Below are 13,831 nucleotides of genomic sequence, written 5' to 3'. Positions count from 1 at the left end.
GTGCTGTGCTATGGAGAGTTCAACATGATTTTAAATGTAATAACTCAGTCACTAGGATCCACAAAGATTCTCTAAGTAGCCTGAAATATTCAAAACAACATAAATAACATATATGCTTATATTCCTCTTTCTGCCTTTATTCACATACAACATTTAATAGGTGCTAGATATTGTGTAATATCTGAAATGCTACTGATCTTTAAATTTCAGATATTACAAGTATCGAATTCCTAGAATTTCTTAACCTCTTTTCAAATCAAATTCTATCCTTTTTAAAATCTATATTATGTCTGAGATCTATAAGAGACCTGATACTACAAGCTATTTACTTTTCTTTTGAAACTTACTTAAGTACTACATATTTTTCCTCTTCTCACATTGTCTTTGCATACCTCCCCACCCAAAATGTTTTCTCAAATATTTTAGCCAAATATTAGATCTAAATAATACAGGAATCTGGGATTACCATTTTCTAGGACACAACTAAGTTTCACTCAAAAGGAATATACTAAGTATTCCCACATTTTCTTCTGTATATGAATCACAATTTCAATGAAGAGAAAGCAAAAGTGTAACCTTAGCTTAGCACAGTAAGTAATATGCTTACCAGTTCAGCAAACAGTGAGGGATGAAAGGAAGTAATAAATGTACACAGATGAACACAAACATGCTGATACAAGGTGACAGCCACCTCAGCTTTCCCCTTACTCTTTAATCCCTGTAAATGAACAGGTAGAGAGAGTTCACCAGAACACTGCTCAAAACTGTAGAAAACGGCTTTGAGTAGAGATATCCTGCAGGGAAATTGAGAACATTGAACCCAACATTAATAACATTTACTAATTAGCAATTATAATAATAATATGTAACATGGAAGGTTGTTTAAGCAGAAAATGTTTCAAGAGGTATAATCAGCAATAGTTTCCAACACGTGTGAATATGTACACATAAAAGGAAAATATATTCACTGTCAAAGAAATTCCTTAAAGGAGAATTTTCCTGGACATTTTTTGCATCATTTACCAACTGTTTATCTTGGTACTGAGTTACACAAAGTCAAAGTTCCTCAAGGAACTTGAAACTTAAATAGCTAAATTAGATATTATATGGAAAAACAGAAAATAAGTAGCAGACGAGGAGTCATTTTAAGATTAAAATGGTTGAAGAAACTTAGAGGATTTAAACAACAAATTAAAAATAGTCAAGTTATGGGCAGGGTGTAGTGGCTCACGCCTGTAATCCCAGCATTTTGGGAGGCCGAGGCGGGAAGATCACTTGAGCCCAGGAGTTGGAAGACCTGGGCAACATAGTGAGACCTTATCCCTAGAAAAAATTTAAAAATTAGCCAGGACAGCTGGCACACACCATTAGTCCCAGTTATTTAGGAGGCTAAGGTAGGAGAATCACTTGAGCCCAGGAAGTTGAGGCTGCAGTGACCCATGGTCATGCCACTGCACTCCAGCCTGGGTGACAGAGCAAGACCCTGCTCCAAACAAAAAAAAAACAAAACAAAACTGTTCAAATTGTAAGTACGTAAAGAAGACAAAAGCACGAGTAAAAGCACACAAATAAGGGGGTGACAGAAGCAAGGAATATGTGTTGAAAATGAATACAAGAATGAGGAGAAAAAGCAGAAGATGACAATAGTATGGGACAGGCTTTAAATCCAAAGCTGAGAAGTTCTAACATTATGTTTCAGTTTTTGAGCAGAATAGGAAGCTCAGAGCCAGGTTTAGGGAGACTAACCTCATCGTGGTACGCAGAATGGGATAAAGGAAGAGGTGAAAAATTAGAGCACAGAGTAATCCAGGAAGAAAGAAACTAGAGCCTGGACTACGGTGTTGGCAAGGAAGATGATTAAAGGTTAAATTTGCCAGGATATACCTTACAGTGTCTAGTGTTCTATTTATCAGAGCTCGTTTTTAAATGTTTCTACTTATAGCTACTCTATTACAATCAATGTTTATAATGCTGACCATTAAGCAATACTGAACAAAATTAAATATTAAAATATTTTTAGCATCTAATATAGGTTTATATATTTTATATTTATCTGCTTTTATAAAGTAGCAATATATATGTGTGTCTACACAATAACTATTAACATAAATATCTGATTTAAAAAAAAAACACACAAACTTAATTTCAAGACCATTCCAAACAACAGGGCCTTCTTAACCATTGGTAATATGACTGGATAAAAACATGTTTGCTACCTGGTTGTCGTTTCTGAGACCTGGCTGTCTGTGCACCACAGGGTTTGCACTTCCTTAGGCTGAGATGGCAGCTTATCCATGACAACAACCAGAAGAAGACATTGTGGAAACTGCAGTTCACATGGCAGGTCTTACATGTAATAAAAACACATTAATTCAGCAGAAATCTGATTAATACGTAAAGGAATAATTTTTTTTTGTTTGAGTCAGAGTCTCACTCTGTCACCCAGCCTGGAGTGCAGTGGTGTAATCTCAGCTCACTGCAACCTCCACCGTCTGGGTTCAAGCGATTCTCCTGTCTCAGCCTCCCGAGTAGCTGGGACTATAGGTACATGCCACCACACCCAGCTAATTTTTGTATTTTTAGTAGAGATGGCGTTTCACCATATTGGTCAGGCTGGTCTTGAACTCCTGACCTCAGGTGATCTGCCCACCTCGGCCTCCCAAAGTGCTGGGATTACAGGTGTGATTCACTGTGCCCAGCCAGGTATAATTTTTAAATAAGAAATATGTTTCAAGAAAAGAAAGTAAAAGAAACTTAATAAAAATTTCTTAATTGTAAAAAAGAATGGCTAGGGGAAATCAGTGTCTCTAACATGTCATAATAGATGATTTATCATTAAATCTATTTTGAAGCTTACCTAATTTACTGTCCAAAACCACCTGCATGAAAGGCTGAAATGTGAGCAGCTGACTGATAAGTGGATCCAGTGTCACTAGGAAAGCACCTGCTATTTCCTCTTGGTGTGCTTTAGAAATCCTGGTAGCATAAAGGCTTGGAGGAAACTTGCTGGGAAGGGAGAGAAAAAAAACTCATTCATTAATAGCTATCTTCTAATTTTAGGTAGAGTAAGTACTATAAACTGATGTTCTGGTAGTAAAAATATATTAAAAACTAAGTTTTTAAAAATAAGTGTGCATTTTATAAAACAAAATTCAAAGTACTGAATTGATACCAGAATTGGATCAAGATCTCTAAACTAAACATAGCCATAATTCTATAAAATGAGAAGTTGATAATCTTAGAGAAATCTTTGTTGCTTTGAGGCACTGATATCATTTTCACAATATCCTTAAAAATACTATAAAAATCTAAATCTTAAATCAAAAGTAAAAATATATATTGAAAAGACTATGTCTGATAAATTCTAGCTTATTTCTATTAAAAGTTGTTTTTGGGCGGAGCGTGGTGGCTCATGCCTGTAATCCCAGCACTTTGGGAGGTTGAGGCGGGTGGATCACCTGAGGTCAGGAGTTCAAGACCAGCCTTGCCAACATGGTGAAACCCCGTCTCTACTAAAAATACAAAAATTAGCTGGTTGTGGTGGTGCATGCCTGTAATCCCAGCTACTCGGGAGGCTGAGGCAGGAGAATCACTTGAAACCAGAAGGCAGAGGTTGCTGTGAGCCAAGACTGCGCCACTGCACTCCAGCCTGGGCGGCAGAGTGAAACTCTATCTCAGAAAAAAAAAAAAAAAATGCCGGGTGTGGTGGCTCACGCCTGTAATCCCAGCACTTTGGGAGGCCGAGGCAAGCGAGGTTGGGAGTTCAAGACCAGCCTGACAAACATGGAGAAACCTCGTCTCTACTAAAAATACAAAATTAGCCAAGCATGGTGGCACATGCCTGTAATCCCAGCTACTTGGGAGGCGGAGTCAGGAGAATTGCTTGAACCTGGGAGGTGGAGGTTGCAGTGAGCCGAGATTTCGCCATTGCACTCCAGCCTAGACAGCAAGAGCGAAACTCCATCTCAAAAAAGAAAAAAAAAGTTGTTTTAAAATAGGCAGAATGCTGAATTTACTATGAATTAATACTCAGTTTCTCAGAAGCAAGAGCTTTACAAGAAATAAACTGTATACTAACACTGAAGAATGGAAAGATTATTTCATGAAAATGTCTCAGTAACTGGATTTTAAACTGAACTTCAATCAAAACTTATGTGAACTAAGATATGTATTCTATATTTTTTGCCACATTAATTGTAAACTTGACAATACATGAGAAAACTCTGTCTAGCAGAGGATAACAGCATTTTAAAGTATGCACTTAAGATAAACACTTGAGGTTTTTGTAGAGTGATGGAAAAAGCACCAATCTGTCAATTAGTTACATGACTTTGGTTCATTCATTTGCCCTCCCTGAGACTCAGTTTCATCATTTGTGACATTGATTCTGAGTTACTGTGAGGATTAAATTATAAATAAATAAAAGACATATACAAATAAAACATAGTAATGAAATTCCACAGACTTGAATTACATCTACTGAGCATCATTGCAAGAATTTATTTTTTCAATCAACTATTTTTAAATTAATTTGACATATGTTTACTAAGTGCCTATGTATACATGCCATGCACTGTTCCACGAGTGGGTGATACAGTAATAAAGAGAATATACAAAGTCACTGTCTTTATAGTTTACAATTCTAATGAAAGGGGACAGTTAACAGACAAGTGTACAAGTAAATACATAATATAGCAGAGGTTAATTCAATGCTGTAAAGAAGAAAAATAAAACAAGGAAAGAAAGACAAGAAGTTCCATTGATGAAAGTCATTTTGAGGGGTTGAGCAGAGAAGTCACATCATCTGATTTATGTATTTTATCATTTACTTTGGCTACTTTGTGGAGAACAAACTAGCGCGAGGCAAAGATAGAAAGTTTTTTGCAAAATCCAGGCAAGAAAATAATAGGGGGTCAGATCAGATGGTAGCAGTTCAGGTGATGAGAAGTGCGTGTACGTGTGCGTGTGTGCACTGAAGGTAACATTGACAGAACATGTTAATAGGGCAAGGTTTTTTGGCCTGATCAATTTGAAGAACTGCCACTTAAACTGAAATAAAGAAGTTACAAAAGGAACAGATTTTGTTGGGTATGAGGATGATATGGGTGGAAATCAAGAGTTCAGTTTGGGACAATTTAGTATAGATGTCCTGACTAGTAGTTAAACATTAAAGGAGACATAAACTTAAAGTCTTGAGACTAAATGATAATAGACAGATAACAGGCCTGAGGAGTAAGTGCTGGGACACACTTAACTTAGAAGAGAAACCTGCTAAGGAGGCTGAGAAGGAGCAGCTAGTAAGACTAGAAGAGAACCAAGAGTGAGACATGCCCTAGAAACCAACAGAACAAAGTGTTCAAAAAAGAGGATCAAGTGCTACTGACAGGTTACAGAAGGACTATAATTGACTACTGGATGCAGCAATGTGGTGGTCACTGATGACCTTAACAAGAACTATTTTGATGAAGTGTTGGTACAGAAAGCCTGATTGGACTAGATTCAAGAAAGAGTTGAGACAGGGGTATAGACAACTCTTTCTAGAAATTTTGCTGTAAAGAAAGGCAGAGAAACGAGACGGTATTTGTAGGAGGACGTAGAGTCAAGAGATTTTGTTTTGTATTGTTAAGATGGGAAAAATAACAGCATATTTGTATACTCATGAGAGTGACCCAGTATGGAGGAAAGGCTGATGATGCAAGAGGGAAAGGGAATAATTGCTGGTGCAAGGTCACTGAGCCTGTGAGAGAGGATGAAATCCAATGCACAATGGAGAGGCTAGTCTTAGGGGCACAGTTCACTCATGGGAGTGAGGGAATGAATATATGGGTCTAGATACACATAGAATAGTAGATGTGTTAGAGGAAACATACAGCAGCTCTCTTAATTGCTTCCATTTTTCCTCAGTGACACAGGAAGTGAGGTCATTGACAGTGAGGAATTGGGAAGGTGTTGGAAGATACAGGAAGTTTGAGGAAGGAAAGGTGTGAAAAAGTTGTCTGGGACACTAAATGAATTATGAAGCTGCAACAGGACTGCTGGATAAATGAACTCACTTTGTGTCAAATTTAGGGCTCTTTGGAGGAAACCATCAATTTTAGAAGTCACTTAGCCCCCATCTAAATTTTGATACCTTTCTGTAATTCAGTTCTTTTCTGAGATGGTTTCAGAAAAAAGACTGTCCTGTAAAGTGAATTACAGAAAGGTATCAAAATGTAAATTTAAATGGAGGCTAAGTGACTTAAACTTCATAGAAACAAAATAAAAATAAAGATTAAAAAATGCCAATAGAAAAATAAAGGTATACGTATATTTGTGTATATATATATTTATATTTGCCATTGGATTTTATCACCTACTAATTATTACTCCTGTATAAGGTACTAATAAAATACAAAGATAAGCATAACTCATGTGGAATGTATCTTTCAAAAGCCTCTATCTCCAATTATTTCAAGCTAGCAGATAAAAATTACTAAAACATTAAGAAAAATTATTCTGTTTTATCATAAAATGGTAGGTACTTAAGCACTGCATGGCACAGATGGCATTGTTGTATCTTAATAATCATATGGCATTCTTCTTACCTGTGTATCTGAAGATACAGTTGGTGCAAAGTACAGCAAGAATCAGAGAGGAAAGGAAGAAATTCCTAAAATAAAACAACTCTATTCATTCTTTGCATAAAAATATGTCTCTTTAGTACATATAATCTCACAAAGGTATGCAAAATAACATAAAATCCTGAATGTGACCCCTTTTAAAAAAATTATTTGTTTTTCTTTCTTTTCTTTTCTTTTTTTTTTTTTGAGATAGCGTTTCACTCTTGTTGCCCAGGCTGCAGTACAATGTTGTGATCTCGGCTCATGAAACCTCTGCCTCCCAGGTTCAAGCAATTCTCGTGCCTCAGCCTCCCAGGCAGCTGGGATTACAGGCATGTACCACCATGCCCGGCTAATTTTGTATTGTTAGTAGAGGAGGGGTTTCACCATGTTGTCCAGGCTGGTCTTGAACTCCTGACCTCAGGTCATCCACCTGCCTTGGCCTCCCAAAGTGCTGGGATTACAGGCATGAGCCACCACACCCAGCACTAAAAAAAAATTCTTAACATGAGAATGAAAGGAGGATGAGGCTAAAAAACTCATTGTTCTATTTAACCACAATGTTCAAACGTTAAAAACTGTGTCATAATTTTAAAGAGGGCTGCGTATTTGAGAGTCATCAGAACAGTAGCGATAACTGTAAAATAGAAAAGTTGTCGACCGGGCACAGTGGCTCACACCTGTAATCCCAGCATTTTGGGAGGGCAGGGCAGGCAGATCACCTGAGGTCAGGAGTTCAAGACCAGACTGACCAACATGGTGAAACCCCATCTCTACTAAAAATACAAAAATTAGCTGGGTGTGGTGGCAGGCGCCTGTGGTCTCAGCTCCTCGGGAGGCTGAGGCAGGAGAATCACTTGAACCTGGGAGGCAGAGGTTGCAGTGAGCCAAGATCACGCCATTGCACTCCAGCCTGGGCAACAGAGCGAGACTCTGTCTCAAAAAAATTAATAAATAGAAAAGTTGTCAAGGCAGATTATTTGCAAAGATGAGCAGAGAATGCTTACAGCAGCCAGTGAACAAAACATTATTAGTAAAAGATATTAGTGGTTTTTAAAAAAACTATTGTCCATGTTCAATTTGTTTTTGACCTAGTCTTCTGTTTTTGACGAAAGATAAGGGTTTCCAATGACGATTTATTATAGTCAGAATGCCATGGCTGGTACCCTGGCTACTGATACACTGCCATCCAAATTGGTCTTTCTGGGCAGCTGCCATTTAAGAGTAGTTGGCTGCTTCTTACACTGGGTTCCCTGCAGCTTGCAGGGTTTGTATTCCAGTGGCAAAGACACATTGTGGGAAATGTACCAATGGCACTTGACGGGTAGTTGTTACCCATCTGATATTTACTTGGTGTGTAGGGAAGCAAAGTTTTCTCTAACTATGCTGCTTGTCTTTCTGAAAAAATCAATTCTATCAGGGGAATCTTTAAAAATTTTTAAATGACCATCAGCTTTTTCCTATATCTTATAATACAATAAAAACTATTTTTTTTTTACTTTCTAAGACATAGTCTAACCATAAATGATAAAGAAATCACACCTGTACTTAAATCCCAGCCTTACCGGTTTCTAGATATGTGACTTGATCAAGTTATATGCTATCTGAGCTTGAAATTTCTATTCTGTGGAATAGGGATAATAATTCGTTTTCTGAGAGAACTACAATTAAATAAAGTAACGTATAATAAAGCCTTACCTTAGCGTAGTGCAAAAGGGAGTTGGCAAAAAAACGACACAATTTGAGTGTTTTCTGAAATAATCTGTAGTCAGCATTATCCTGATCCAAAAAGGGAAATAAGAAAGCATAATAAATAAGAAAAGAATATAAAATTAGCTAAGCTTACAAATGAGACAATATTTTCTAAAAACAAAAACAAAAAAAACCCCTCTTAAACACAGTATAAAATTTTTCCGAGAAAATATAACTCCTCTTTGAATTATTAGGTGCGATACAAATAACAAATGACAACAGAGGTATTAAATTAAATTCTACATTACTGAAAAGAAAAGAAATCTTAACCTACGATAGCAAAAGAGGTGATCCTTCTCAGTTGATCTGAAAGTGAAAGAAATTTAAATACCTTATTCTTTGTTACATGGGGATCAATTTAACGGATGGTCAAAAGAAAAAGGTCTTACAAATCAAAGAAAGAATGATATATAAAAGAAAACAGGTAAAGACATAAAAACACATTACACAAAAAAGACAAAACAAACTGCTACTGAAAAATATCCAAATTATAACTTAATTATATATATTTCGGGAAGGGGGAGGTTTGAGGGTTATTTGATTAGCAAAGATTAAAAAGACTGATAATATCCCTGCACTAGTAAGGAAGTAAGTTAACAAGCACTTTCTTTTACCATTGGTGGGAGCATAAAATAATACATTATTATTAAAAGTTGAAATGTTAAAACACCTTAATTGAGTAGCAATTCAATTTCTGGAAATACAGTCTATAGAAATACTAGCATAGGTATGCAATGTGACATATTTGGCTGCTCTGCCTATGGAGTAGCCATTCTTTATTCCTTTACTTTCTTCATAAACTTGCTTTCATTTTACTCTATGGATTCACCTTGAATTCTTTCTTGCACAAGATCCAGACCTCTTTTGGGGTCTGGATCAGGACCCCTTTCCAGTAATAACTTCCTGGCAAACCCTGTAGGGACAATACTGAGGAAACCTCCAGCCCCAAAAAGCAGACTGCAGCACCAATTAGTCAACTTTCGTTAAGTAGTGGGGTACCCAGGTGATGAAGAGGATTGGGTTAGAGGCCTAACTTACGGGAGTTAGAGTCTCTCCTAAGACAGGGTGGGTTTAAACGCCCCTCTTAATAAAAGGAAAAGATGCTTGACTGAACTTTGGTTTGCGGCCCAACTTAGGAAAATTAGACTCCTTCTTAAGATTTAGGGGGTTAGAGATCCCCCTCAGTAAAGTCCCTCTTGGCTAAGAACTGGTTTGGCACTACGGGATGTTAACTGCTATTCTCTTTGGATTACTTGGCCTTGCACTCCTGCTGACGGCTGTGGGTGACAGGATTAGGCATGTACAGAATCATGGGACGTGGGGAGCTTTTATCCTCCCCAAAAGGGGAAACTTGAGCTGATGGGACTGCTGAAAAAGGTCCCTTCACTACAGACAAGTGCTGCCTGAACTTGATTCAGTGTCACTGCAATGGAGGGGTCTTTCTCAGGCCTCCCTGAGCTCCTCACCTTCCCCACCCTGCCACAGGCAATGCTTTTCTCCCATTCTCTCCTTTCCCTTTCTTATCTTTTCTGTTACTCAGATCAACTGTCCACTCTTTCATCTTGCCCAGAGACCACATGTTGAAAAATGTCCTTAGGAGCTTGACCTTGTAACCACATGGCAGTACTTGCTCTTTGTCTCTACCATCCAGAGGACAGGAATTTGGGGGTTCATGTTTTAATTAGCTCTAAAAATTATCTTGAGCCTTTGCAAGCTCAAAATTGGCTGCTCTGGGCTCCTTCTGGAAAGAACAATGGAAATTGCCTAGTGCTGGAGTTCAGCAGCTAAGGCTTTGCCATTTTACAATGGCTGGCGGCCCGGGTTCAATCTGGCAAAGGCAATGAGTACTTTCTGGTTGATATCTGTGTGACCTTTACCATTTGTTGATTCTCTTCCCCTCCATGAACTGTCTTGAATTTTTCTTTCTCTGAGCACCTGGAAGGTTACCTTTGGTAACGTTCAAAAGCCAGAAATATCCGCACTTTGGCATGGCTAAAGTCGGGTAATAGGGGATTTAAAAGGACGTTTTAAAAAGTGCTGTGGTTAAAAGTCAGCTTAATTCAAAGTAGACATTCAAGCTCTAACAGCCTGGGACTCCATCGGAAAACAGAGGGGGCACCACAGATCCTTTTTTAGTGAAAACCTCTATTTTCCTCATGGAACCCCAAGAATTAAAAGTGGATAGATCCCTCTCAAAATCTAAGGCTCTGTTCTGTTCTGCTTTGCATTGCATTATCTGATGTTTTTCACTTTGGAGGTATCATAAATTACTTCACAGAGCTTTGGTATATAACTAGGTAGGAAATATACTTTTGGGGATAACTAATGGCACGAGGGGGATACTCAAGATCTTTGCACATTTGGATCAGAAGCATGCTCTTGGCCACTTAGAAGGTATGGGGATGTCCCCACCTTCCCCTCAACCCCCATTGAGAGATACAACTCCCATGAGTGATGGGCTGATCACAGAATAGACTGATTGGCTTTGGGTTACTTTGCAATGAAATGCATGGTAAAATCATTGGACTGCCTTTTTCTATAGTGTTTCTCTTTTGGGAATCCAGGATCCAGTATACAAATGGGACACTTAATTTTGGCGGATCTATTTTGCGTTCCAACTGTGCCTGCTTATTAGGCTGTAGAAACCGCATGCTTTCCTGGCCCTGTTCCTCCAAGGGCTCTACCCTAAAGCCAGTAATCCAATTAAGAAACTGGCAAATGAGCCAGGGGTGATGGCTCACCTGTAATCCCAGCACTTTGGGAGGCTGAGGCAGGCAGATCACCTGGGGTCAGGAGTTCAAGACCAGCCTGGCCAACATGGCGAAACCCTGTCTCTACTAAAAACACAAAAATTAGCCAGGTGTGGTGGCTCATGCTTGTAATCCCAGCTACTTGGGAGGCTGAGGCAAGAGAATCACTTGAACCCAGGAAGCGGAGGTTGCAGTGAGCTAAGATCATGCCATTGTACTCCAGCATGGGCAACAGAGCAAGACTCTGTCTCAAAATAAATAAATAAATAAATAAAACTGGCAAATGAAAAATCTAATAACTACTGGATCTCTTCTTCTGTATATTTATATGTATTGTGTATGAAATATAAAAGAGCTTGATAACTGGTTTAAAAATAATGAACACTTAAATATTTTGTCAGAAAAGTAAAAAGTGGAATGCCTTTTAGTTCATGTGACTTAAGTAATTTCTGGGAAATACAGTTTTAAAGATTATTGGTAAAATTAAAATATCTTCAAAATAAAGACGTGGTTTAAATTAGGCAGGTTAGATATTAGGTTTGCTAAATGCTTTAAGGTCATAAACTGCTTCTTTGACTTTTGAAAACTGTTTAACTTTGGAGCAGATTCTAGGTAAGGCCTGGGGACATGTGGTGTTAGCCATGCCCCCTAGCTATGCTAGAAAGAGTCAGACCTTACCTACACTTCTGTTCTGTGTCCTAGGCTCCATACCTAGTACATAATTAGAATTCCTTACTTACCAAGGTTTTCCACCATAAGTAAAAGTTGCTAAGAGTTAACATTGTAACATGTAATTGAAGACTACTGAAGAAACAGTTTTACATTACAGGTATGTAAGGAAAGTGAAATGTGTTTTTGGTAAAAGATTATAAGAAAGCATGGGAATGTGGATTTTTGACCTAGATTAAAGGGGGATAGGATTGTTTTAAGTTAAATAGGATAACGCTGAAGGTTTGAGCAAGTTGTACAACATTTGTAAAAAATTAATCTTGCAAAAAAAAAAATCTGTGTGAACATATTGGCTAAAGTTAAAGGGGCATTATTCAGTTTTTCCATAAATTGAACACTGGAAAAAATCACAACAGGATTTCCTGAGAGCAATAATCTACTCTTTAACAAAAATTGTAAAGAGTTGTAAATAGTTTATGAGAATCTTACCTTATGGTTATATTGATTAAAATTAGATTTTATACTGATTAAATTTTATACTGATTAAAATTAGATAGATTTGTCTATACAGTTTTATACTGATTACATTTTATACTGATTAAAATTAGATAGATTTGTCTATACAGTTTTATTAAGAATTGGGGTTAACATCAATAGGACACTAGTGCAAAGGTGAAACTTGGCTTTTTTGGTATAAAAATCATACAGGAAGCATAGTCAAATATAAAATGATGTTTGGCTTTCTTTGGGCTATATTTGTATAAATATGTTATTGGCATGTGTTCCAAAATTATGGGAAACAACTATAATTCTGATATGACTTAATGTATACTATAATTGTTATATAAAATTGTTATCTGCCACAGAAGTAACCAAAATCCCCAGTCAATTATGGCTTTAACAGAGGCTGCCCTAAGGCTTTTTGTCATCCACAGACAATTGTTGTCTTGTTTTAATCAAAAGTTGATTTTTAATCAGCTACAGGACTTTGACAGGTGCTTTTCAATGCAGGTTTCTGATAACTTTGGCAATTGTGACATTAAAATAGAGGAAAGAAATTTTCAGGACTCTCATGAAGAGATGGAGTGTTCGTGGATATCAAACAGGGCAAGCATTAACTACATGGACTGAACTAACAGAAGACTGAAGTAATTTTTTTTTTTTTACTTTTTGTTTAAAATGTTGCTGATTCTTTGTTTTATTTTTCAGAGTCAAGAAAACTTCTTTTGAGCTGTTGTGAGCTTTTCTTTGAGCTGTTTAACAATTGAGTAAAGTATATCACTGTGAATAAAATTTGGAGCATATTTGTTTCTGATTTCTCCAGAATTTGGAACCTATTTATGAATATTCTTAACTTACAGCAATATAGTTATTTGCATAAGTGCAATACGAATGTTTTCTTTTGCAACAGGACACAACTGGAGAAACTGGTTATTTTACCAAGGCTTTGGCTGGAATAGTGTGCTTTCCTTTAAGGAATCAAACTTGACTTATAAAGCCAATAAAGGCCCTTGGGAAAACTTGCCTCATACCTTGTTTATGCAGTCCCTGTACAGGGTTCCTTACCTGTGGTAAATAAAGAATGTCACTTTCTGACAGGCCCAGGAGCCCCAAGTTATCTTGGGACCTCAAGAGGAAAGGAATTTACCCAATTCATATTTTAAAAAGTCTTATCTGAGTTTCCTTATGAAACAGAGTTCCATCAAAGCCAATTTTAAAAAGCCCATGTGAAAAATAATTATTCTTGCTGTACTTTATACAGATAATCAGACCAAGTATAAAAAAGCAAATCAGTCTTATCATGATTTGCCTTTAGTAAAAATGGGAGACTGGAGAGAGAAAAAAATTATGTTTCAAAAACTATGGTACACTTGTTATTAGGTGTTTTTGAGTGTTTTTCTCATCAGTTGTTCTTGAGGGTTTTTTCTGCAATTTAGACTAACCCTGCTTATTCCTGTGAACCAACCAGTGATCTCTGGCTGCTGCTCAGAAGAAACAAGAGAGATGGTAATGTGAAAATCTGGATCAGTATTCTAATTCTGGGCCCATACTGGAATCAGC

At 37.3% G+C, this 13,831-nt stretch overlaps 1 protein-coding gene across 20 annotated transcripts in view; it reads right to left on the bottom strand.

Moving 5' to 3' along the window:
- The window catches only part of FIRRM (FIGNL1 interacting regulator of recombination and mitosis), a 70,244-nt gene that overhangs the window by 24,024 nt on the left and 32,389 nt on the right, over nucleotides 1–13,831 (bottom strand). For 16 of the 20 annotated variants that reach the window (XR_921872.2, XM_047424760.1, XM_047424762.1 and 13 more), the window contains 5 exons: nucleotides 8,298–8,378; nucleotides 6,585–6,649; nucleotides 2,858–3,006; nucleotides 2,217–2,346; nucleotides 608–794 (listed from right to left, as the gene is read on the bottom strand). Coding sequence is in view for 18 of the 20 variants with exons in the window: in XM_047424760.1 (XP_047280716.1) it covers nucleotides 608–794; nucleotides 2,217–2,346; nucleotides 2,858–3,006; nucleotides 6,585–6,649; nucleotides 8,298–8,378 (612 nt within the window). In the remaining 2 variants the exon portion in view is untranslated. Of the gene's footprint in view, nucleotides 1–607; nucleotides 795–2,216; nucleotides 2,347–2,857; nucleotides 3,007–3,841; nucleotides 3,965–6,584; nucleotides 6,650–8,297; nucleotides 8,379–8,625; nucleotides 8,652–13,831 lie in introns of those variants that run through there. The other 4 variants (NM_001366771.1, NM_001363739.2, NR_159440.1 and 1 more) reach the window with 3 other exon arrangements.

The sequence above is a fragment of the Homo sapiens genome, chromosome 1, assembly GCF_000001405.40.
Source record: "Homo sapiens chromosome 1, GRCh38.p14 Primary Assembly".
Lineage (NCBI taxonomy): Eukaryota > Metazoa > Chordata > Mammalia > Primates > Hominidae > Homo > Homo sapiens.
Note: the sequence above shows the minus strand (reverse complement) of the source record. Positions and strands in the feature narration are given on the sequence as shown.